The 26,080-nt window shown below is 38.1% G+C and overlaps 1 protein-coding gene across 7 annotated transcripts in view, besides 1 other annotated feature; it reads right to left on the bottom strand.

Moving 5' to 3' along the window:
• Positions 1 to 265: 265 nt before the first annotated feature.
• TAFA1 (TAFA chemokine like family member 1) overlaps positions 266 to 26,080 on the bottom strand; it is a 554,078-nt gene continuing 528,263 nt past the window's right edge. For all 7 annotated transcript variants that reach the window (NM_001252216.2, NM_001438647.1, NM_001438650.1 and 4 more), the window contains 2 exons: positions 7,007 to 7,131; positions 266 to 1,401 (listed from right to left, as the gene is read on the bottom strand). In NM_001252216.2, the coding sequence (NP_001239145.1) occupies positions 1,384 to 1,401; positions 7,007 to 7,131 (143 nt within the window). In that variant the 3' untranslated portion in view covers positions 266 to 1,383. The remainder of the gene's footprint in view (positions 1,402 to 7,006; positions 7,132 to 26,080) is intronic.
• Positions 9,656 to 10,208: an enhancer, noted in NCBI's record as "OCT4-NANOG hESC enhancer chr3:68584830-68585382 (GRCh37/hg19 assembly coordinates)". NCBI's record gives its function as "activates a minimal SCP1, AML or CMV promoter by ChIP-STARR-seq in primed H9 embryonic stem cells {active_cell/tissue: H9 hESC(primed)}" and the evidence as "EXISTENCE:reporter gene assay evidence [ECO:0000049][PMID:30033119]".

The raw sequence follows: 26,080 nt of genomic DNA, 5'->3' as shown, positions 1-26,080 counted from the left end.
TAGCCCCATATCTATTATTCCAGTAACAACTACGAAAGCCCAATAATGGCATCTGACATTTCGGCTTGCTGACTGAGGACACTGCAGTTATAGTAATGGAGTTCTGATTTTCAAAATATTAACATTGTAAATAGTAGCCACAATGGAAGCAAAGACCTTATGGGAGAAGCTCTGGCTGACTATGAGTATCTGAGCAGTGCATTCTCTGGATTTGGTTAAGGTTGATTCAGTAAAAATAAATGGCAAAATAAAGAAGACAAGTAGGTTTAGAAAGAAGTTGTTTACCACTTTAATAGGGCTGTCCAACATTTGGTCACATAGATCATCTTGAAATCTAATTGTTTTCATGGCCTTCCTATCTCACAAGAGGAGACCTGAATACTCTTGGAAAAAGCAAACCAAACATAGAAAGAGATGCCATGATAAGACTTGTTGCTACAGCACTATGTAGTTAACGATGCCAGACTTTGGATTTAATCAGAGGACATTTCTGCAGTCTAGGACAGCTATACAAAGCCTTAAGACATTGTATTTACAGGACTTATTCATGTAGGGATCCATATCCTACCCATAACTCTGCCAGAGTCTTAATAGCATGGTGGAGTGGCTCCCTTAAGAATCCTCATTTTCTTCTAAGTGGAAAAGCTAGTAGTTCTAAAAATATTTTCCTGGAAGAGGTTAGAACGGTTATTATATATCAATTGAATATAAAGTATGACTATGTAAGCCAAGCTTGCATGCTAATATTGCACAGGGTAGAAAGCAATAAAACAGGACGATGTGCTTCCTTGGGCCATCTGGTAGAAGCAGAAGGAAGTTCTTGATTCAGTATCATTATGATGCCTCAAATTCCAGGAGTCCACCTGTAGCTGGCCTTCCCGTGTCAGTGCCATCTTGAATTCTCAAAAGGGCACATATCTTCCTTGCCGTTAGAAAAAGAAATGACTAACAAAACAAAGCAAAACAGACAAAACATCCAAAACTCAAAGGGGTACACCAGCCGTCTCAAACTGTGGTACTGTTCATTTCTTGAAGAGAATAGATAATATTTCAAAATATTATATATATATATATACATATATTTCAAATGGTACAAAGTAACTATAGATTCAAATTAGAAGATAGTTGATCGTTCTTCATGATGCCCAAAAATTTCACTGAGAAAACCCTTTTTTAAGCCCACTTTCCATGGTGTTGCCAAAACGCTGTGTCTTCTCACTGTAGGATATTTCGTTACACACAGTAAACGCACTGTGATTATCTGGTAGCCAGTCAAAGTGCAAGTAAGAAATCCATTTGGCTTGTATATATGTGAGATGTTTGAGATTCTCAAAATGTATTTTCCAGAGGGTTGGTTTTCCTTTACTACCACAAATGCTTCTGTTAGGTTCTTGGGTGAATCTGAAACCAAAGAAAGACAGACATTTCAGGGAGAACAGTGCAAACTGAAGGCACAAAGAAATGTGATTATGTAGAAAAGGAGGACACCTTGAATCTTTAGGATGTTGCTTTTTTTCAGGTGATCTGAAGTCAAAAATCTTAAAGTTTAGAGCAGTCATTTTCAAATGGTGATCAAATCATATTGATAGGCCACCATATTTTTATCAATGCAATAAATTAATGATGTCACTCCTGAGGAGTGAGGCTCCTGGAGCAATGCCTATCCAGGACTGGTTTCCTAGGCATGTGACCTATGAAGTTGCACAAGGCCCTATCCTGGAAAGAGCCTCCTGCTTGGTTTAATGTTCTTCTGTTGCCATCTTGAGATTATTAATAATTTTTAAACAAGGGCCCTGCACTTTCATTTTGCACCTGGCCTTGCATGTTATGTAATCACTCCTGTGTCTATCTGATGAGAATTTGAACTGGGTAAGTTATTCCATGGTCTTGTGAAGTTGGCCTGTTGTAAGATATAGAGGGCTGGCATGAGGTGAGGTCGTTGTCAAGGTTAGACCACATCTGTGTAGGAACACAGCGATGAGAAACTGTTCCTGTGCAAGGTGAGAAACTGTTGCACTCAATGACACTGTGTTCAAGGGCAATCAAGATTACATTTCTGTTGCTGTAGATGTCTTAATCCACTTGAATAGGGTATCAAAGGCTCAAATATTCAAAAGGACGCATGTACAGAGAACTACTAACTTCAAGCATAAATAACAATTCTAATAGAGTTGAAGACTCTACTCTAGAGTTCCAGGAAATATGGCATTTTTCTTTATTATCTCTTACTTCTTTACAGTTTTAGAAGTTGAGTGTTCTGAGGCTAGAGGTAGAAGTCCATTTAAGGATTTTAGAGTTAGGCAGGTGGATTTGTGTTGGGCCAGTTACAGAAAACACTGATTTGACAAGATGGCTATAGTGGTTAATTGTGCAATCTGGGGTCTTCTACCTCCTCGTTTTAGGGAATAAAACTTGACTTTACATTGTGTACTAACTGTTGATTTTCTCACTAGTCTGAGAGACATTCACATATTGGAATGAAGCAAACCCAGCGTGGTTTGCTGCTTCCCAAGATATGACACCAGATTATGTTCTGCTATTTTAACCTGTTAGTTTGTCTTTTCCAGTGACTGATTTTCTCCTCATTTCCTCCTCTTCCTCTTCCTGCCACCAAGTAACTGACATTCAGTTTTTAGCTGAAATTATTCCATCATTGTCAAATAACTTATTTTGTCTTTGAAAGGCAAGTAAACCTAGGGACTCCAAAATCACTAAGCCAAAGGGAAATTCAAGCTGAGAATGATGTCAGGCAAACCTGCCTCTCATTTTATTCCTAAATAATATAGCTACAAAGATGTTTCAAAAGCCACATACGTCCCTCACAATTTTACCACAGGGAAATTCCTTGTGGGTCCCAGATCTTTATCCTAAAACCTTTCTGTTGAATTTTACCCTGGCAATGTAAACTGATAACTTATTTTTTCAGGTGCAGGACAAAGGACAGAACTCTAAGTCATCCCCCTGCTCACCTGAGACAAATGTATATCTGATTGCGTCCTCTGTCGTAAAAATAAAGATTAACTGAGCTACATGAAGGCCTAAGTGGCTCTTCCTCTACCCCCTTCCCACATGTAAATGGTGTATTTGGTGAAAGGCTGTCAAAGACCAAAAGAATGTAACCACCATTTGTCTCTTAACTACCCACACCTTTAAAAATTTGCTTCTTTCCCCAATATCCACCCTTTTCCCTTTAAATATTAAAACCCTCAAAATCATCTCTGGAGAAAGGCACAGACCTACCTCTAGGTCATGCATTCATAACCTTTGCCAAATAAACTTTCTAAATTGAGTAAGACCTGTCTCAGATACTTTTCAGTTTTACATCTCTGAGGGGAAGTCTGTCTTTCTAAATTAAGCCATTGTTCCTGAATATAAAAGGTATAGACATGTATCTGAATACATGGGATAGAGCCTCCCCAACTTTCAAACTTACGTATTTGATATAGTTTAAAGAAAAGACGTAAATAAATAGGTGTCTAAAACTGCAAGAATAAAATCTCTAGTCAATATTTTGGTTGGTTAGTCTTGCTCCTAAGTACCAACAAAGCTATTTAATAAAGCAATTGAAGCAATGATCAAGCAGACGCAGAGGAATAATTTGGCCATGAAACTTCACCCAGATGTACTGAGATTCTCCCCAGAAGTGTGTGTGTTGCCAGATTTATTCTACTCCAAGCTGGGTCTTGGAAAACCTTTCAAGGTGAATACTTCCTTTCTATAGGGTGGCATCCAGGAGTCTTCCTCTCTTAAAAAGTTATTCCAAATCTCCTGAAAGAAAAGGCTTTGCCTAATTCCACCTATATTTTCTCCTTCCTTCTGGGGTAATAATATCACTCAGATCCATTGTTCCTGAGGTTTTTCTTTAGACTGTGGCCTGTTACCTGGGCTACTCCAGACGTTCTGGGGTGTCTGGTAGTTTAGATGAACCACCACATTTCTACTCTTCACCTTCCTTAAAAAATGAACACCATAAAGTTTTAAATTAGATCAGACTTTGAAACATTATTTAACCACATTTCGAAGAGAATTTTGTTCAGGATGATTATTTTGGAAGTAACCTACAAAAGATGAAGGTTTGGAACAGTCTTTTATAGGAAAGAGAATGAAGTCCCAGGAACCTTTCCCTGGATTATCTTTATATTGAAGTTACTTTTAAAATAACAGTATGAAGGAAACTCTCAGTTGCTATTAACAATCTGAGTGTGTTTCCCCAACTTTATTTTTATCCTGAGTGAACTGTCTTTGAATTATTCTCACACAAAAAAGAACAAAAGAGGTAAATTTCTTTGTTTTTTTTTTTACCTCTTTGATAACAGCAGAACAATGAAAACATGTGACTCATAATAATTAAAGTACATCTGTGAATTAAACCATTCTTAAAGTTAAATTGTTAGAATCAATATTTGAAGTGAGTAAGCATATTTGTGCTCTGATGGAGAAGAATACATAAGATGTAGAAGAAAAATTAATACAGAACATATTTTCAGAGCAGATGATCTAAGGACTGGCGTTGACACACCATTTACACAGAATAGATGGTTCCTATATACATCATCTGGACTTAGTTGGTGCTCCTTGTGTTTAAAAGTGCTTATTTCATTGCAAATTTCTTGAGAAGGAGGGAGGAGGGAGGACGTATGTCAGTAAGAGCATTTGAGTCCTCTGAAGGTTTAAAAAGTACAGCTTTTCCAGTGTCTTCTCTTTCCTTTTCTAAGGACAGACTTGAGAATTCTCAGCTGACTGATGTGCAGCTCACATGGCTGTAGAGTGGCCTCCTATTTCCTTGCTTGAAAAGGATGTATACGTCAGAACAGGTACATCCTCTGCTTTCAAACCGACTGCAATGGCAGTTTGTTTATCTCATCCATTCAACTGCTTGAGTTGAATTCAGCCCACCCAGGGAGGTAGCAAATGGTGTGCTCCAGTCTCTGGTACTGTGATCAGATCCTGCACAATACTCCTGTGTTGTTGGAAAATGTCTAGGGTGCATCTGCAACATGCCTGATGGTTTTAAAATGTACTCTACAGAGGCCAAATAAAAGAAAGTTACATTGGTCTCAAAAAAGTAGCATTAACAATCTATGTTTCTGTTTTTTTGTTTTGTTTGTTTTATATTCTATCTTCCAAAGAGTCTCCTAGTTGGTACTCTTGGAATTTCACATATTTAAATCCTGACTTGAATTATTTTTCTTTACTGTGTTTCAGGTCTGGAGACACCATGAGAATAAGACTTGCCTTCAATAAAAGGCAATCAGTTCTTTAGAATAGAGAAAAGAGATTTGGCAGGAAATATATCAGCAATGTGTTTAAAACAAAGGTGGTTAGATTCCAATCATACTGGCCATAATTCAGAATAGCTTAAAACAAACCAATTTGTGAGGGCAACTTCAAATTATTGGGAAGAATCAGTTTTAGGCAAAAGGTAACCAAAGGGAAACCTGATTTCCCACCTTCTACTAGTTAATTAAAATGGTCTCTGTGGATAAGTTGCATGAACCAGGCTTATTTCTGAATAATGTCTTTTGTAGGTGTTTCATTAAAATGAAACAGGATAATCCACATTAAGCTACTCAGGCACAGACAGATGCATGTTAGCAAGCTAGGGTGGTTCAGAGGTTCCTCCTGGTCGCAAGCCGGAAATGTATAGCCATTTACTACTGGTCAAGGGGGTCAAAAAAGGCAAGGAAATTTGATACACAAGATGTTTTCACCTATTTTATATGTGAAAAATAAGTTTTATATAGTATTATGTAGCATTAGTTTTGTCTTCTGCATCACAAAGACGAAAGAACCAATTTTATTCACTGAAAAAGTGAGGCTGAGAAGAAAGAGTAAGTCAAGATTAATAATAAGGGGTGGGAAACAGAGACATCCTTTCAAATACATCAGACCTTTGGTAGAATAAAACTTCAGCATACTGGGATTTGTAACCGATGGAGCTTGCTTTAAAAAATACTCCACAGGCTGGGTATGGTGGATCAGGCCTGTAATCCCAGCATTTTGGGAGACTGAAGCAGGAAGATAGCTTGAGGCTAGGAGTTAGATGCTGCAGTGGGCTATAATCACACCACTTCACTCCAGCCTGGGCAACAGAGTGAGACCCCCCTCTCTCAAGAAAAATTCCTGTAAATTAAAACACACACAGGCATGCACCCCCTCCCCCCACCACACACATGCACACACCCACCCACCCACCCCATGCCCCCCCACACACACACACAGAGAGAGACAAAGAGAGAGAGAAACAGGGCTGATACTCAATTGATACACATACATATGACCACACTTGTCAAATAGACATACTTTTTTATTAGTGGATATATAATTACTATCTTAAGCATCCGGAGCATCTCCCACCCCTGTCCCCTTTAGGATTCCAAGGCTGTCCAGTAACTACAGGGTTAATATCTAGCTAGCTGGGCCTTTCTGCCCTGCTCCAGCATAAGGGTGCCAATTTTGATGGTTTGGATTACCCCACCCTGAAGATTGTTATTTATTTAGAAGATCACTCCTGATTTAACCAAAGAAATCAAAGAATGATGTATTCACTCCCCAAAACCCTTTTCAGTTCTCTGACGGATCATCACAGAACTCTTTTAAAGAACATTAGAAAATGGCTTCTGTAGGTGTACTTAAACGCAGACCCTTTCAGCAAACCATCTGGATGAATTAGGGAGGAAGTTCATTTGATTATCATTCTGAGCATTATAAATGTTGGATGAATTATCCGAATAATTACCTCATGATTCCTCTCCACTCTGGCTGGAAACCCAACTTAATTTATGAGTCTGTGACAGAAACACTAAACTGCTCAGTGTGGGAAAGTCAAGTTCAATCTCTAACGTCTCATTCACGGATGGACACTGATCTGCATAGTTCAGAATGCTTTCTGTCAGTGGAGAATCTTCTCTCCTGTGCAAAGCTTCTGTGGATGCTGTTTGCACAGCACAAACTCAAATAGTACAGTCTGTAACATCCAAAATACATTTGAAATAAGTGCACTTACTCTCGTGGTCTTAATTTTGTTGCCTGTTGCGCACATCCATCCAGAATTGTCAGGGAGTGTCTTACATTCTTCTCCTTCTAGGCAAGGCTCCATCTCACACCACCATTTCCCAATCACTATGGAGGCTGTGCAGAAACAGGAAACAACTGTGTTTGCAATTCATCCAAACAACCTGAACACTGACGTTGTGTCCCTCTGCAGATTTTCACGTTCTTGGAAGCACACTAAGTTCTCTTTAATCCTCCATGACTAGCTAAGAAAGCTCTATTAAAAAAATAAGATTTTAATTTATATGCCTTATAATGCAAATATAATTATGTGGACTGGTTTCATCAAGCAGCATTTTTGTTGGGGATTGAGACTGCCTTTTCAAAATTATGACAGTAAGAGAAACCTAACATAGCTGACTCCATCTTGCTTCTAACATCCAAGCTATCTTTGGTCATTCCTGGGCATAGGCTAAGCTAACTTTGGGAGGAATTTAGTTTAAACTTAAAGCAAGGATAATAATAACCCTTCCCAAAAGTAAACTGCCTTTGTAAAACTAATGAAAGGCCACAAAGTTAGGACTATGAGAGGGGGCTGAATTCTCTTAAGATATAGAAGTAGTTAAATGATAATCAGCTACTGTTCTGGAGGCTGCGAGATTTGTAACTTTTCCAATTATTCCTGTAGATAATATCACTATTGTAGAACTGAAAATTGACTGAGATTTTTTCAGACTTTTGCATTCTAGCAACTGACTCCACTGAGACCCACACACTCAGGACCCAACCAGTCCTGTGGCCCCCACCTGGAGGCTGACTTAGCACATGAGAACTGTTTGCCACACCTCTATCATTTCAACCCCAATCAACATTCCCCATTCCCTAGCCCCCTGCCCACCAAACTACCCTTGAAAAATCCTAACCTCGAAGACTTCAGGGAGCCTAATTTGAGTGATAACTCCAGGTTTCCCACGTGACCAGCCTTGAGTTAATTAAACTCTTTCTTTACTGCAATATCATGGTCTCAGTGAATTAGTTTTTGTCTGTACAGTGGACAGGAAGAACCCACAGGCAATTAAAACAATCTTTTTGTTTTTATGCCAAATGCATATGGAAGAGGAAGACTTATGAAGGAAATAAAAATATTTTACTCCAAAATATGCTTCTTTGACATAGTGTGAGACGGCTGTTCAGAGAGTCAGCAAACAGAAGTAGTCCAGCAAAGTTTTCTTTCATGGGGGAGATTTGTATCTATAAAGAAAATCTGCACTGATACAACCAGGCTTTCTCTGAAGCCCCCATTGTCCAGTCTAGGAAAAATTAACTGAGAGTCTGACACTTTTAAAGGCCTAAAAGAAATATTTACCAGCTATTTTCTCTGAGGGCTGCTACCTGTGAGACCAACGTTGCTAGCCAGGCCTCCTTTTCTCTCCCTTCCCTAACCTGTCTTGCCATATAACCTGATTTACCATCATAACCTGTTTTGGGCCATGCACTGAGTCCCCATTCTTTATGAAGTTTCAAGATAGTATGTAAGTTTTTATATGCCATTAGGGGGTTAGTGTAATCACTGTGATTCTCCCTCATGTACACATTAATAAATTTGTATGCCTTTTCTTTTATTAACCTGCCTTTTGCCCATTGATTTTTCATCAAAATTTCAGAAGATGAAGGAGTTTTTCTTTGCCCCCTACACTTAATTTTTGGGTCTTCAGGAACTTTCGTGCTCTTAGCTTTTGTAGAGCACAGATCTTGCACTATTTCTATTCAATGAAGGGGACAAATGCCTCAATACTCTTCAGAATGACTGAGGCATTCTTCTCAGAAAGGCAAATTTATCCACCAAGCATTAGGGTTTATCGCCTAGCCTAGGGCCTTGAAGAATTTCAAAGGCCTGGCATAGAAAAAATGAATTGACTGAAAGTACAAAAGAAAAGTTGCAAAATAAAAGTCAAGAGTAATATTAGATAAAAATATATCCTTACCATCAAGAGTATAGTTGATATGAGTTGTGGTTACCTTTTAATATGTTTAATATGATGTGGGGGGAACTATCAAAAGTTGAGCCTCTGATAAAGCAGCCCTAATTTTCAGGGGAATATCAAGGATGACCACAATAGGAAGCTGGCAATGAATTTAGTGTATGTACTAAATATTTACAGCACACATTTTCTGATAACAAAATTTTATAAAACCAGTGACTAGATTCACTCAATGCAAATCAAGAAACTCTATATTTCCCTTAATGCCTTAATTGAAAAATGATTTCTACACAAGCACCAGTCATTTCTGTAGCTCCTCCCTGTGTTAGCTCTTCCCAAATCCACCTGGGCATTTCCCATTCAGAATCCTCAAAATGTCAGCCAGGTGTTTGTCTTACGATGCTTTCTGGTTGGCTGTTTTTACACGGGACGAGAACCCTCGTTCTTTACTCACTCCCCTCCATCCCCCATGTTCCAAAGATGCTCTCCACCATGATCTTTAAGTCTCACAACACAAAGAAGCCAAATGACATATGATAATGTCACAGAGGATTAACATTAAAACGGGATGGAGTAGACCCTGAAGCAAAGCAGGAGCACATTAAAATTCTCTCTCTATCCAGTATTCACTAGAGGGATGAGATTGCTGACTTAAAAGCAGAATGGTTTAACCATCCAGACATCTCTCTGCCCTTAGGCTTTCCTTCTATGCTTTTCTTACTTCAGTCTTCCCCTTCTTTAGAATTCAGTGTTCCTCAATCTTTACTTTGAATAAAATTATTATGTAGTGAGGAAAGAAAAGAACTTTTATGTGAGGAATGTGAGCCTTTTCAAATTATTAGGCCCAGGGAGGTGTAAAATGAGATAGCAATCACACCCTGCTTCCTCTGTTTTGAGACACACATTCATCTAAGGAGATGGCTTGCAATTGCCACAAATAGCTATGCATTAACCTAATAATGCCTCAGTGGACACCATATCCCATGCCCTATAGCTTAACAATGGATAGCCAATCACTAATGAATGTTATTTCTGTAAACCAATGAGAGTTCCTAACAAAAACTTTCCCCCATCCCCATTTTTCCCCCTTTAAAAACCTGCTTTTAACTATGGCCAGTAGAGCTCATATCCAAGATTACTATGGTCTGAGTCTTCCAGGCAGCTATCCTTATTTTGGTTCAAATAAACTCTTCAAGTTACATTTTGTGCTTCAGGCTCTTCCCTTTAGGTCGACAGTAGGATTCTATATGCAAAGTCATGTCTACTCTATTATATTGTCAATTTAAGAAACTTCTCAAGGGTAATTTTGCCATATTTAATTTTTGCCTTATATGTGGACCAGACCAAAGTATGTATGATGCAATTCCACTGGATATGGCCAGCAAGCATAGGTGGTAAAATCTTCTAAATAGCTGTATTCATATGTAAGACAACGTAATATTATGGTAAAACAGAGTTTGAATAGAAGACAGAAATCCTCCACAGGGTATAGAATGATTGAGAGTTTAAAGTTGTTTTTTTTTTTTTCTTTTTGATGGCAGTGCTCTGTATCTGGGCATGAAGTAAAGGAAGTAAAGGAAGATTCTTGTCATGGGTAAAAGTACTTATTTATGTGAATGAACAGATGACAATATTACATAAGAGAAGCAAGAAAAACATACACTATTGAAAGGGAACAAAAATATATTGTAAAACTTTCAGTTACATAAGACACAAATCAAGGTTTGCCAGTGTTTATTGAAAACCTATAATCTGAAGTTTCCTTTGGGCAAGCACTTAATCAGAAACAGTCCAGTTACATTTACTACCATTTCTGATGCTTATCCACTTAAACCCCACCTAATATTTCAATATTGTTGCCCTGAATCTAAACCATCAAGAATGGAAACCCTTTGATCTTAGCATGAGAAGAAATTGCCTTTCCCAACAACCCTTCAACTTAGCATTTTGTCACCCTTTTTTTCACAGAAGCTAGCGAATAATGCACATCCGCCAGTGGGGTCAGCTTTTTGCATTTTTTTTTTGGTGTTGCCTCCTTCTAAGCCCTGTTCCTCCTCCTCCTTCAGGCTGCTCTCTGCCCTCTTGGAGCTGATCTACTTTGTTGCAAGTTAACAAAGCAGTTTCCTTTTGTCTTAAGCATTAATACCTCCTAAATGAAAATGTAGACATTAGGGAAAAAATAAATCTCCAAACCCATGCATCACCTTTAATTCAAGGTTGTAAAGATCCACTGGTTCATAGGGGGAAAAGAAGAGGCTTTCTAAGAAGAAAAACGTCCTCAGAACTGTTATAATATCTAAAAATTCACATTAGAGTTGCCTCTTCTAAATAGAGTTGGATGATTTGCTTTACCCTTTGGCTTACTAGAATCCAATTCATTCTTCCAGTTGTAGAGAAGTTTAAACCTGCAGATTTGCTAATTTGAGTCTATAAAACAAAATAAAAATAAACATTAACAGGAAAAAAAGGCATACAAATTATGTGCACACATGTGCAAAAGAATCATTCAAAATATAAAAATTCAAAGAAAGCCAAGATTATCGATGTTTTTATGCCATCTTGAGCTTACAGAAAGAATAGGGGCTTGGAACAGGTTATGGAAGAAGGCGAAGAGAAATTTGGCTAGCAAAGGTGGTCCTGTTATGCAGATGAAACTTCTCAGGTAGCAGCCCTCAGAGAGAACAGCCAGGTGTCAGACCCTCAGTCAATCTTTTCTAAATACTGACAAGGTGGGGGCTTCAGAGAAAAGCTGTTTGCATCTGTTCTTTAGTTCACTTTTTTTTCCTCTACAGATGCAAATCGTCTCCACTAGAGACAGATTTGGGGGCTACTTCTGTTTATAAGCCCTCTGAACAACCATCTCAAAGTATGTCAAAGACATATATATACGGGTAAAATATTTTAGTTTTCTTCACAGTGTTGCCTTTCTGAAGATGTCATTAGACCAATTTTGTTTCTGATTGACATGTTACATGGCCATCTTCATATATATCCTTTTATATTCCAGGTCAAGGTGTGAAAGGAAAATAAAATCTCAGGACCACAAACTCACTATGCCAAAGGGAAAAGTAAAGCTTGCGAACTGAGTCACACAAACACAAATCCTTTGTTTCTAAACAGATAAGTGCAAGATAGAAGGCCACATGTCTCTCTGCATGGTCTCACTCACTCTGACAATGTAAATTAACAGCTTATCTTCACAGGTACAGGACAAAGACAGGAGTAGAAATCGATCCTCTCCCCACCTCAAGACAAATGCATATTAGACTTCTTCCTCTGCTCTATGTTTACTTTATCTCATGTAAAATGCAGTTTTACTGAAAGCACAAGGCGAATCCATACTTTACTGTTCCTCTGCCTGCTCCTTTCACATGCAACATGTAGATTTAGTGATCACTCACTAAAGCCTCTGATATGGTTTGGCTGTGTGCCCACCCAAATCTCATTTGGAATCACAGGTCCCATAATTCCCATGTGATATGGGAGGGACCCTGTGGGAGATAATTGAATCATGGGGGCGGTTTCCCCCATACTGTTCTCATGGAAGTAAGTCTCATGAGATCTCATGGTTTTATAAGGGATTTCCCCTTTTGCTTGATTCTCATTCTTTCTTGTCCAGCACCATATAAGATGTGCTTTTCACCTTCTGCCATGATTGTGAGGCCTCTCCAGCCACATGGAACTGTGAGTCTATTAAACCTCTTCTTCTTTATAAATTACCCAGTCCTATGTATGTCTTTATCAGCAGTGTGAAAACGGACTAATACAGCATCATAAGGATGCGACCGCTCACCTTACTACATACCTTCCTTCTTTTTTTTTTTTTTGTTCTCCTTACCACCCTGCCCACTTTTCCCCTTTAAATACTGAAGCCCTCGAAACCCTCTTTGGAAAAAGTGCAGGCCACAGTCCTATGGTGACTGGTGTCTCTTTTTCCCAGGTGTGTCCTCATCATTGGCAAAATAAACCTCCAAATTGATTGAGACCTATGTCAGACTTTTATTATTATTATTATTATTATTATTATTATTTTGCTTTACAAAGCTACATTCTCTAAACATAATTTTTTCATAAACTCATTTTATTTCTGCAATTTAAAAAAAAATTTACAATGAGAGAATTTCAAAATTGCCTCCTCTTCACCCAAACTGAAAGCTACCTGAAAACCTTCAGGTTATTGAAAGAGAATTGATCCACTAGATTTAATAAAATGAGCTAATATCAATGCTAGTTAACTGTTTTTACAATTTTGTCTCATGGAGATACTTATGATAAGTGATGGAAACCCAAATATGCACCCTCCCCAACTACTTCTTTGGTATATTTTGAGATGGCTACTCAGAGGGGCTGTAGACACAGAAATGGCTCTGAAATGCTGTGTTTTTTGGGGATGATTTGTATCTAAACAAGAAATCTACATTAGTGAAGAGTGGATGCAAATGGGCTTTCTCTGAGCACTGCCCACCCTCCATCCCCCCTCCGAAAAAAAGACTCAATGTCTGACACTTTTAAAGTCTGACAGAGAAACTTTTACCACAGGCTACCATTTATTCTTTCTGAGAGTGCTCCCAGATACCTGAGGGGCTTTTATCTGCATAAGAAGGCAGCCTTTCTTTGCCAGGTTTTGCCTCTGCCATTTTCCCATAACCAGTGACACCACCTCCCCTCCTCCTCCTGGGAAGACCCGAGCCCCTATTCTTTCTATAACCTCAGGGTGCTGTAAAATCTTCAGTCATCCAGCTCTTTAGGGGTCTCACATTTGTGGGACTCCCATGTCTATGTACATGTTAATAAATTTGCCTACTTTCTCCTCTGTGGATCTGTTGTCCATTCATTTTAACAGACAGATTTGGACGTTCAGAGAGAAGAAAATTCTCCTCAACCCTGCATAAGAAAAATATAAAGATAAATAATTCTTAAATATTTTGAATTAAGATAGTCAATGCAATAATAAAAAGGATAATTAACATTTATTGAGTGCTCCTATGTGTTTCTCTGTTAGGTATTTTAAATGTATTACCTCAGTCTTTGCAGTAACTCTGTTAGAGCAGGTAGTTAGGTTGACATGAGCAGGGCAGGAGAGGGCCCCCCACCAGGAATGCCTGGCAACCATCAGTTGATGGTCAGGTGCTTGTTAAACTGTCTCTCTAAAATAATAATTGGTCACAACCAGCGCCAGGGAAAGGCAGTCTCCCAACAGATAGAAAACACCTGAAGCTGGTGATCAGCAGCTTCCCCATAAGATCTCAGGAGTTGGATGAGTAGGTTCAAGCACGTGCTCTAAGAAGCAAAATGATGGAGTTTAACTGACCTTCCTCTAGGAACACTCAACTGATAAGGGAAAAATGCCTCAAATGAGCATGAGCACAACTTCCCAAGTGCTGGCGGGTCACTACACATGTGGACAGCCCCGCTAAAGGAAGAATCAGGGGAGATGGGACACAACCACCCAGAAGTAAGCCAACTTATAAAACCCCAAGTCAAAGGTCAAACTGTGCACTTGGATCTCTCAAGTCACCCGCTTGTCCCTCTTTCAAGTGTGCTTTACTTGCTTTCATTCCTGCTCTAAACTTCTAAATAAACTTTCACCTCTGCTCTAAAACTTGCCTTGTTCTCTCCCTCTGCTTTAAGTCATTCGGTCAAATTCTTTCTTCTGAGGAGGCAGAATCTGAGGCTGCTGCAGACCCACATGGATACGCTGCTGTTAACAACCCTATAAAGTAGGTATTATCACTAACCCATTTTAAAAGTGATGAAACTGAAGCCCGGAGAGACTAAGTAACTTTCCCAAGCTTACACAGGTAGGAAGTGCAGGAATTAACACTAAAACCCCAGCTTGCTTCCCCACCAAATCCATGTTTTGTTTTGTTTTGTTTTGTTTTGTTTTGTTTTGTTGTTGTTGTTAATCATTATAATGCTAATTCAGTGCCTTCTAGTTTTGTATTCAGCATTCATAGAATTAAAAAAATATATTGGCTTTTGAGTCCATGAGTCCATGGATTCTGTATGTTGTATTACTATCGAAAATAAATTTCATATCAAACACAAATACTTGCAGAAAACAAAAACATTTAGATTCTTGTAAAATTAAGTTAGCTTTAAAAAAAATTCAAGCAAGAGCCAACTTATCACACTTTTTTTTTGATCTGAGCTACTCATTACTTGATTTCACTAGTTACAGCATTTTAATAGAAATTCCCACAAGTGAACCATTTTCGAAGCCATGAGAAACTTGTGAGGTAGATGCATAACTGCTCCGAGGACTTTTTATCCCCTAGAACTGAGTTAATTAAATATCAGCCACCAAAACCAGCTTCTCTTATCTGAAGTGATTATGAAAGAAGATCTTTAAGGTCCCTTTTAACCCTGGGGTTCTAGGACTTGCTCTGTGAATTTGCCATGCTTAGGAAAATATTTGATCTTCAACTCTTTCCAGAATGTTCATCTTTCTTTGAGAGATTCTTAAAATCACTAAAGCTTCTTTAATCATGAGTCTTGATTTTTCCCTTATACTAGGTCATATTGCTATAGAGCAAAAGAGAGGCTGTAAAAGGAGAATCAATCCTTTATTTCAGTATAAATCCTAAATAGAGCAGAAATCTGTTTTTCATTATGGTTGTTGTTCACTCATGAGGCATTTTGCCATGGAACTATAGCAAGATACTAATAAGCAATGGGCTTAATGAAAACAATAAATAAACATTATATTGACTAAGAACTGCAGTCCCTTTCTACTGTTTCAGTAGATAATCAAATTCAGCAAATGTTTATCAAAACATTACCTGCTTTACCAAGAGTGATAAAATAAAGAACATGACATAGTCCTGTCCTCAAAGATGACAGTTTAGATCAGAGTTTCTCAATACAGGTTACTGGCATTTTGTCATAAATTACAGGAAAGAAGTATAAATGAGCAAAGTGCTCTTCCCCTAGTAAATATGTTGTGTTAATAGAGCAGGCTCAGGTTGGGGAATAAAAGGAGAAAACCTGCTGTAGTTTGGATTTTTTGTCCTCTCCAGAGTTCATGTAGAAATTTGATCTCCAATGTTAGAAATGGGGCCTAATGGGAGGCATTTGAGTTATCGGGTGGATCTCTCATGAACAGGTCAATTCCCCTACAGGGGAGGGTGAGTGAATTCTCACCCTCTTAGTTCCCACGAGAGCTGGTTGTTTAAAGGAGCCTGGCACCTCTCCTCTCTCCCTTGCTTCCTCTCTGCCATGTGGTCTCTGCACACACAGCTCCCCTTCACCTTCTGCCATGAGTGGTGGCAGCCTGAAGCTTTCACCAGATGCCCAGTCTTCCAGCCAGCAGAACTGTGAGCCAAATAAATATTTTTTATTTATAAATTACCCAGCCTGCAGTATTCTTTTATAGTAACACAAGCAGACTAAGACAAAGGCTTAATAAGACTATGGAAGTTCTTGAAAGCAAGCAGCTTGTGTTCTTTTTTTTTTTTTTTTTTTTTTTTTTTTTTAGAGAATGGTGAATCTAGATTCCATGAGCAAAGGGGAGATATGATTAAAGGGTAGGTAGGGGAAGATGCATTGGTGTAGTGTGTAAGATGGAAGAAGAAGCAGATGAAATGCTAGTTAAGAGTCACTAAACTCAAAGAGAAAAGATAAGCTCCTGATTTTACATGCTTGCACTAGAATTGTGAAGAAGGGCAGGGTGGAGGGCAACGTTAGGAATAACAGAGGAACACTTTAACCAGTAACTCGGTCATCTTAGCTTTCACTCCAATCACACTGGACTCATCTGCTTGCCTACTTGTACTAGGCAGTGAACTCCTTAACAGTAGGATTAATACTATACTAATCTTTGAGTGGCATGGGGTAGGTCAAGATGGATTTCCAACTTATGAATGAATAAACACAATGAAACAAAAAGAGAAAAAAAATAGTGCCTATATCAAAGGGTTGTGAGGATTACATGAGAAAGTACATTTGAAGTACTTAGCAGAGTACTGGGCATTCAGTAAATCTTCAATAAATATTAGCTATCATTATCTTCATTGGCATCATCAATTTTATTACTCTAAAGAATAAAATCATGCCAAACCAAAAAGGCAATTCTTCACTAAGTGAGAGTAAAACATTATTCTTCGATATGCCAAACTCTCAGCTTGCTTCTATGACTTATGAGAGTTTGAGCATAAATTAAATGGTTGAACATATGATTGTATTCATGTTCCCAGAAGTAGGTTATAAGTACCTCAATCAAGACAAATCTCCAGACTTACTTTTGTGCAACCTGTCATGCAATTTAAAGCAATGGCTAGAACTCCACTGTAAGGATGGGACAGATCTCCAGCCTCCCTTTTTGCACTGGTTGTTGGAACAGCTGTTACAACTCTTTTCTTCAAAAGACCTGTAGTGACTCCCAGTGTGTTATTGTCTTTATCAAAGCAAACAGGAAATTAAAGGCATTGGATAACCTTCCCTGCAGTTATTTCAAACTTCGCTTTTCTATGAGCACATATTTAAGGATAGGATCCAATTTTGAGACATTATGTATTGACTAAGACTCTAAACTCTTGGGTATGCGATAGAGGGACCTGGGTTTGAATTTTAGTTCTACCACTTTGTAATAGTATGACTTTGGAAAATTGCTTAGTTCAAGATTAAGTTTTCTCAGTTGTAGATGAAGTTAAAAGTCACAACTGGTTATCGTGAATTTTAGATAAGGCACTTACCATAATGCCTAATAAACTTTATACTCAGCATGTGGCAGTTATCACTATTATTTATCCATGTGTTTATTATCCAGCTCTGTATGCATCCATCCCCTCACCTTCATACAGGGTTAATGCCTTATCTTTAATGCAAGATTATACTAATTCTGAAATGCATACGATCATTTTTTACAGCTCAAATTGTATTTCTTTAGAGGATCTACATTATATTTCAAAGACATACATGAAGTTAAGGGCTGATGATAAGATTCATTAGGATTGCATTCCCTCTACAAATTCTATTCTAGTGCTTTTCGAACAGACAATCTTATCTTGGTGAGGGTAGAGGGGAGGACATGGATTGTGAAATGGGAGGATTGAAAGTCACAAGTTAAATGTGGTATAATTTCCTTCAGTCGGTAGATTTTTTTTAAAGGTATTTGAGACAAAAGTTATTTTTTATTCATTCAAAAGCTAATCATTTACTGCAGTGCTGGACATAAAATCAAGACACACAGTTCCCACTCTAAAGCAGCATACAGTCTCTTTTTGGAACTCTGCACCAAATATAAAGACCAGACAATATATATTGACAAGTTGTGATGCATAAAAAGATACAGCATGCTATCAGAGAAAAGAACTAGTGGATATAATTTAGATTCTCAGAGTGTGACCATAAGAAGACTCCTCATTGATGAAGTAATTTAACCATTAAGTAATTAACAAAACTGTTTTTGTATTAAAACAAGTAAGTATATATTATGATATAAAAGGCTACCTTGACATGAATTTTAAAATAAAACACAAAACAATTAGAAATCTTTTACCTGTTATGGGCTACTCTAAGCTGTCTTATTGGAACACAGGGGTACATGTCCTATTTTGAAAAAAGCTGTATGCTCTGGTGACAAGGAATTTTCAGAGACCTTTTGCAACTCAAGGAAGCTCTCCTAATTCCTGCCACTAATAATACTCTTTGTCTTAGGCTGCATACCAGTCCTGGAGTCCCTGGCTTATTCTATACTTTTAATCTGTGGTAACTTTATCCCTGATTCTATTTGTAAATCAAATCCTGAATGTTGGTCTTGCTTTCACTAAATAGATGGTTTTATTTTAGAATTCAGCTTTACATGACTTTGCATCTGTGTAGAAAAATAATTTTTAATAAATGGTTAGCAAGGAACACAAGGAATCATGCTTATTAAATACATGTCTTACTGTATATACCTTGTATCTTAAAATTTAACATTCTACCTTCAAATTATTTAAGAGTGACCCTAAAGTTTATTTACAGTGGATAGTAATTTGCAATTTTGTTGAAGAACAAATGTTTTTTATGTTTCTTATTTTGCCAACTTAAAAAACCTTTATTTTTTTTCTAATTCTGAAAGTAATACATATTCTTTTCTAACATTTAAAGCATATGGATAATTATTTAAAAAATTATCACTCATGATTCCATTTGGCAGAGGCATTCTTTTACACTTTGGTATTTTTCTTAAACTTTAGAAATGGCTCTTTGAAGGAATGAGTTTATATACAAACATTTCCCCAGTTTTAAAAAGTACATTATGAGAGTACTATTAGACTCTATAATATAGTTTTTGCTGGAATTGCTACAAATTTACCATGATCAAATAATGTCAGTTAAGTACTCTTTCCTCTTTTTATATGTAATCATTTTTATAGTTATTGAGGTATTAAAATATCACTTTTGGTTGATTCCACTGTGCAGTTGATCTCAAATATTAAATTATGCTCAGAAAATTCCTGGTATTGAGTTCATTTGCAAAACTAGTGTTCACAATTTTGGCAGTAATGGGAAAGTTGTACACTGATTGTAAGGTATTTCATTTTAATCTTACTCCCACTAGAGAAGATTGATATAAATAAAATTTAAATAGAGAACACATTTTAGATGCCAGCACTGAAAAAGACTTTGTCAGACTAATGAAAAGTTATCAATTTTCTCTACTTCATTCAATGAATTGTGAGTCATTTTCTAAATGGATTAGATTAAAGGGAAGTTCAAACTCCCAGGGAGATGCTCTTGGCATTGATGGAAACTTTAGACAAGGGAGAAACTACAGAGCATGCAAAACCTCTTAGGCCACTTCAGATCTATACAAATTGATACCAACTAGGAGAGAAGTGTCTCTTAACTCTGAACTCACCTATTGCCTTAGAAGCCAAATCCTAGGGAATCAAAGGAGATACATTGTTTCTCTTATTTTATTAAGCTGTCATAGGTGGCTGAGTGAATCACAACTGAGAACATGGAAAACTCAGGAGGACTAAGGTCTGGATGAAAAGCTTGTGGTTCTCAGCACTATTTGCCTGGCTCACAGACACTTGAGAATGTGTTAATACAGGTGTTTGATTAAAAAAAAAAGAGAGAGAGAATAACAGGATATAATACCATTGTGCTCTTGCAGTCTCTAGGGGAGACTGATATCTTCAGGTTTGCTGTAATTAACTTCAAAAAACATAACTAGACTCTCATGTGAAGATGAAATATGGACTCCTTAATCATAGAGCACTCTTGAAACTAATTTGATGTGTGTCTATATTTGAAATGGCAAAATAATTTGATAGTTGATTACTTCAGTCATTTGGCAAGAACTTCCCAATATCTCTGGAATATGCCTTTGACCTTCACCTCTTAAAAAGTGGAAAACAACAATCAACAGCTTTGTTTTCCTATACAATACCACACAACTAGCATGGTTATTTTTGTGGAATTGTCTGGACTATTTGGAAGAATTTAGCTTTACCTATCAGAAAAAATATTTATAGACCACCTGCTCTATGCTCAGCACTACTTAAAATAGGCAGACTGAACTATATAAAAGCATAGCAGAGCCTTCACCTATGAGTTTTAAAGCAGATGAGAAAATGAAGGATGATATAAGGATTCTTATATTTTGAAATATGTAATTTCACTAATATCAAACCCGCTAAACCAGAATGAATCTGCCAACTGCCAACAAACATGGGTAAAAAATAAAATTCCATACTGACGCTTCGAAATTCATTTTGTTCGTGTCAGTGATGGCATTAAGAAAGCTAAAAAAATAATCAAAGGAGACCAGGAATATACATGCAGCAATGTTTCAGATGGATCTGTTTGCAAAAAGTTCAACATCTTAGTTCTACTGCCTTGAGCTGCACATCCCCTACGCTTTTGACTGTATTTATGGCTATATATTTAGCTAAATTGAAAGTCGAGTGGAACACATACCCAAAGTTCAACAATAAAACCTAGAAACGGCCGGGCGCGTTGGCTCACGCCTGTAATCCCAGCACTTTGGGAGGCTGAGGTGGGCGGATCACGAGGTCGGGAGATCCAGACCATCCTGGCTAACACTGTGAAATCCTGTCTCTACTAAAAATACAAAAAAATTAGCAGGGGGTGGTGGCGGGCGCCTGTAGTCCCAGCTACTCGGGAGGCTGAGGCAGGAGAATGGTGTGAACCCGGGAGGCAGAGCTTGCAGTGAGCCGAGATCGCACCACTGCACTCCAGCCTGGGCGACAGAGGGAGACTCAGTCTCAAAAAAAAACAAAAACAAAAACAAAAACAAAAAACAACCTAGAAACATAGAAAAGTACTTCCCAATCTGAGGGCTCAGGATCCTGGGAGATGGGGAATCTTGTGGTAGCTTAAAACCTTACTTTTCTAGCAATAGTGGTTTAATAATGCCAATTCATTTTGATTTTATTTTCTAAATGTACTGCCTCTTTATGTCAGGTAATACTAAATTTCTATTTTCTGATTGTAAGAACAATTACAAATGCTTCCTCTTCTACACCTGCCTCTGTGCACTGACTTTGCCTGTCCTTACATTAAGAAGTAGAGTCTATTTTGCCAGCCCTTCTATCTGGGTTTGGTTATATGATTTTTTCATCCAATAAAAGGTTAGCAAGCAAGAGACAAGAAGAGATTTGAAGGTGCTTGTATTGGGGCTTACTGCTCTTTAGAAACCTGTCGTGACCATGCTGAAAAGTCATGTGGAGCAGAGAGTAGCTACCCCAGCTGAGGTCCTCCTGGCATCATCAACCTGTCAATCATCAGACATGTGACAGAGGCCACCCTGATTCCAGGTCCAATGGAGCCAGCCCAGACCAGAAGAAACCACCCAGGCAACACACAGAATCGTGAGAAATGGTACATTTTTGTTCTTTTAAGTCATTCAGTGTGTGGAGATTTGTTATACAACAAAAGGCAATGGGAAAGTAGTCAGAAAATATCTTTTTAAGATGAATACATTTAGGTAAATTTAAAGAAAAGCATCAAGCAAGTAATGATAAAGACAATGTACTGGTATAGCACGAAATAGGAAGATGGTATGAGACTGACAGAAGTTTGGAAAAAAATGACATAAAATGTTGGGTATTCTGCACCTAAATCCAAAACAACAAACCCCAATCTATAAATGCATTTTGCCCTTGGATTTACTGGGAAGCAAGAGTACATGCAAAGAAAACCTAGGCCTTTGAAAAGAAAAATAAAAACAATCTTTTCCATAATACACTTAAATAGCAAAACACTAGGAATATGAAAATGATCTATTATACTGAATAGTTATTAAGAGTGTTATTTTAGTATATATATTTTGGGGGATATTTTATTTTAATCAAATTCAGATACTATATTTATGAGTTTTTGCTTCTAAAAGCACTGATGTAAGAATCAAGCAATTGATGACAGGGCATTTTTTCATGGCTTCTTGATCATTGACTACTCACTTTCCTGATTAAAGGAGATGTCCTGTTCTCCAGTCAAATTGATCCTAAGAAATTACAAAACACTTATTTAACACAAAGGTCAAAAGTTGGCAGCTTATGTGCTTAAACTGAAGTGTGGATTCTTTTTTTCTCTCTACACAGTACTTTTAATAATTGAAATTAATCACCAATATTCAAATTAGGAGATTTTACATTAAAGTACAAATGTTAGGTTTCTGGGAAAAATAGGAAGACTAGCAACACTGGGGCTGCGTGTTTATAAAAACAACTGAGCAGTGTTTTCTCCTTTGGGTGGGGTTCATGTTCTCCAGTTTGCCATAGTCCCTGCCACTCCCTATCATCCCTGGCATTCCATTCACTCATCCCATAGACACACATACACTTCTTTCAAGTGCTTTATTTATTTATTTATTTTTTGAGACGGAGTCTCGCTCTTGCTGCCCAGGCTGGAGTGCAATGGCATGATCTCAGCTCAGTGCAACCTCCGCCTCCCGGGTTCAAGCAATTCTCCTGCCTCAGCCTCCTGAGTAGCTGAGATCACAGGTGCACACCACCATACCTCGCCAATTTTTGTATTTTTAGTAGAGTTGGGGTTTCACCATGTTGGCCAGGCTGGTCTTGAACTCCTGACCTCAAGTGACCTGCCCACCTCAGCCTCCCAAAGTCGCCCAGGCTGGAGTACAGTGGTATGATCTCGGCTTACTGCAAACTCCACCTCCTGAGTTCAAGCAGTTCTCCTGCCTCAGCCTCCAGAGTAACTGGGATTACAGGCACTCACTGCCATGCCTGGCTAATTTTTGTATTTTTAGTAGAAACGGGGTTTCACCATGTTGGCCAGGCTGGTCTCGAACTCCTGGTCTCAAGTGATCTGCCCACCTAGGCCTCCCAAAGTGCTGGGATTATAGGCATGAGCCTCTGTACCTGGCCTCAAGTGCCTTTTATGTATGTACTCAGAGCCTGACTTAGGTGCTGCCTCTGAAGCACCAGTCCAATTGACTAGAAGAAGACTTGGAAGCCTTTCTTTTTCTGCTTCAGTAAATCGGAATGGCCATCTAGCTCCCCGAACCTTTCCCTATCATTTCTCTGCACATTTATGTATGTTGCTAACACCACTGGAACTGCTCTCCTTCCACTGGCCCATCGAGTAGAGACTTTTGACATCTTACAATCTCAATCCAAATACGTGTTCTCATTGAGAATTTGTAGTGAGGAAATGATTTATATCAGATCTCACCAAGTTAGACAGAAAGACACTGGAAGACATTACACAAAATCAGCCTATCATATTCAATCCACAGCTAAAATCTCAGGATATTCTAGAAAAATTTATAAATAACTGAAAAGTTTTTGATATTTTGGTGGCTCACACCTGGAATCCAAGTACTTTGGGAAGCTGAGGTGGGAGGATTGCTTGAAGCCAGGAGATGGAGACCACCCTGAGCAACAAAGCGAGACCCCATCTATGAAAAATAGAAAATAAAAAATTAGCTGGGCTCGGTGGTGTGCTCCTGTTGTTGCTACTCAGGAGGCTGAGGCAGGAGGATCATTTGAGGCTGCAGTGAGTCATGATCATGCCACTGCACTTCAGCCTACGTAACAGAGTGAGACCCTATCTCCAAAAAAAAAAAAAAAAAAAACAGAAAAAAACACAGAAAAACCCAGACTCACTTCTATGTTTCTGTCACAACATAAGCAAACAAATTTCACTTTTCCCAAACTGTCTATAGGTTTTTTCCTTCCCTATCCCTTATGAGTTCTGTGTCATTGTTACTTGATTTAGTTTACCACTGACTTTCTCAAATACAAGAAAATCATTTGCATGAGGAATAAATAAACCACATGCCAAATAACTGTCTCTAAGGTATACTTTGATACTGTACAAATTTCTTGATCAATTCCACACTAAACCAAACTTAAGTCTTCCTTCTTTTAGGCTTCTATGGTATTGTGCTCCTATTTCCTCACGTATTTTAAATGTTTCCTCATCTATCTCTCCACTAAGCTGTACGCTTCGTGAGGCCAGTGATTGTACATTTCCAGTTGTGTGTTTAATGCACCAAGCAGAGTGCCTGGCACATAGAAATTGTGACCAGCATTGTAAATTGGCTACAGAAAAGCCATTCCCAACTCCTTCTCCCTTGATACTTCCCACTCCAGCAGCGGAACTTCAAAATAATTGCTTTACTAGCTTTCCTGGTAGCTGAGTTTGGGCATATGATACGATTCTGGTCTATGAGAGCAAGCAAAGGTCTGCTGGGGAGGGCGCTCTGGAAAAGTCTTGATTTCCTGCTGAAAAGACAAAGTCACTGCTGGCCTGGTCCTTAAGTCACCTACTTACACAGTCTGAAATGCGTATATGACAGCTGCAGCTACTATAGCCATCATAAAAGACAGTTCAGGAAAATTGCTGCAAGGCTGGCACTTATGTCAAAAACCAATACCTCCTTACTTTCTGTTATGCAGGAAAAAATCAATTCTTATTGTCAAAGCTGCTTCAGTTGGGCATTCTGCTACTTGCCACCTAACACAATCCTATGCTACACTGAAGGTGCTCAATAAATATTTGTGGAATAACTAAATGATTGAATGAATCCAGGTGTTTGACTGCACCAAAGCCAGATTGCTGCTATTTTCTAGCCATTTAGTACCGAATATTAACAATTACTGAAGAATGAGATTTTGCATTAATATTAAAAATTTAGTTGACTAATAGATAATCCTGAGAGTAGATTTCTGTCCTTATCATGTGTCCCTCCACTTTACATGCATGATCACACTGTCCCTCATAGCATGCCAGATGCAGAAGTTACAGAACAGGCATAGATCTATGTAAATTAGTCATTTTCCTAGCATACTTCTGTGTCAGTGGTAATGTTGGGTTTTCTTAATTATAATCCAGATCTGCTCACAATGGAGTAATACTAACTGTTATGGCCTAGAGAAGCCAAATTCAATTTTACTCAACTATTAAGATTCATTTGGATGTTTCTGACATGATTTCTGCAAGAAGACGAGAGCATTTAGAAGTTGCTCTTATAGTGAAGTATTTTTCGAGGCTTGCTGTAGCACAAGAAAGAAATTGGGAGAAAACTGAACATCAGCCATCAAAAGAAAAAGGGAAAAAATAGCAACTAAAGAAAAGGCTTCTAATATTTATTTATTGTTCTTTTAAAATCATTTTCTGTCCTACCTGTGGCAGGCTGAAATCTATCTCTACTTGAGCCCGAGCCACAGGGACAGAGTCTGAAAATCTTCGTGAATATAATTTGTGGAGAAGACAGGTCTAAAGAAAAAAATTTTTTCTCATGCTCTGAATTTTCAAGTTGGCTCTAGCCCAAATGCCAAGCTCAAAAACCATTTTCATTTTACTTTCTGAGACGACAACTTTTCCCAAAGAAAAAAAACAATCACCAGTGCAACATTCTGAGTATAGGCAAACTGTTTTGTGTTTTAGGATTTTGTTGGTCATACGATCCCCTTCCTACAAGAAGGAATACACCCAAATTACTTCCTTTCATTTCATCTCATTATGAAACTCTTCTTCAACAACATTCCCCCTCAATTCAGAAAGGTAATATGTAAGCTCATGTTATGAACTAAATGTTTGTGTCCTCCCAAAATCGTATGTTGAAATCCTAACCTGCAACATGATGGTGTTAGGAGATAGGGTGTTTGGGAGGTAATTCG

Source organism: Homo sapiens, chromosome 3 (assembly GCF_000001405.40).
Source record: "Homo sapiens chromosome 3, GRCh38.p14 Primary Assembly".
Lineage (NCBI taxonomy): Eukaryota > Metazoa > Chordata > Mammalia > Primates > Hominidae > Homo > Homo sapiens.
Note: the sequence above shows the minus strand (reverse complement) of the source record. Positions and strands in the feature narration are given on the sequence as shown.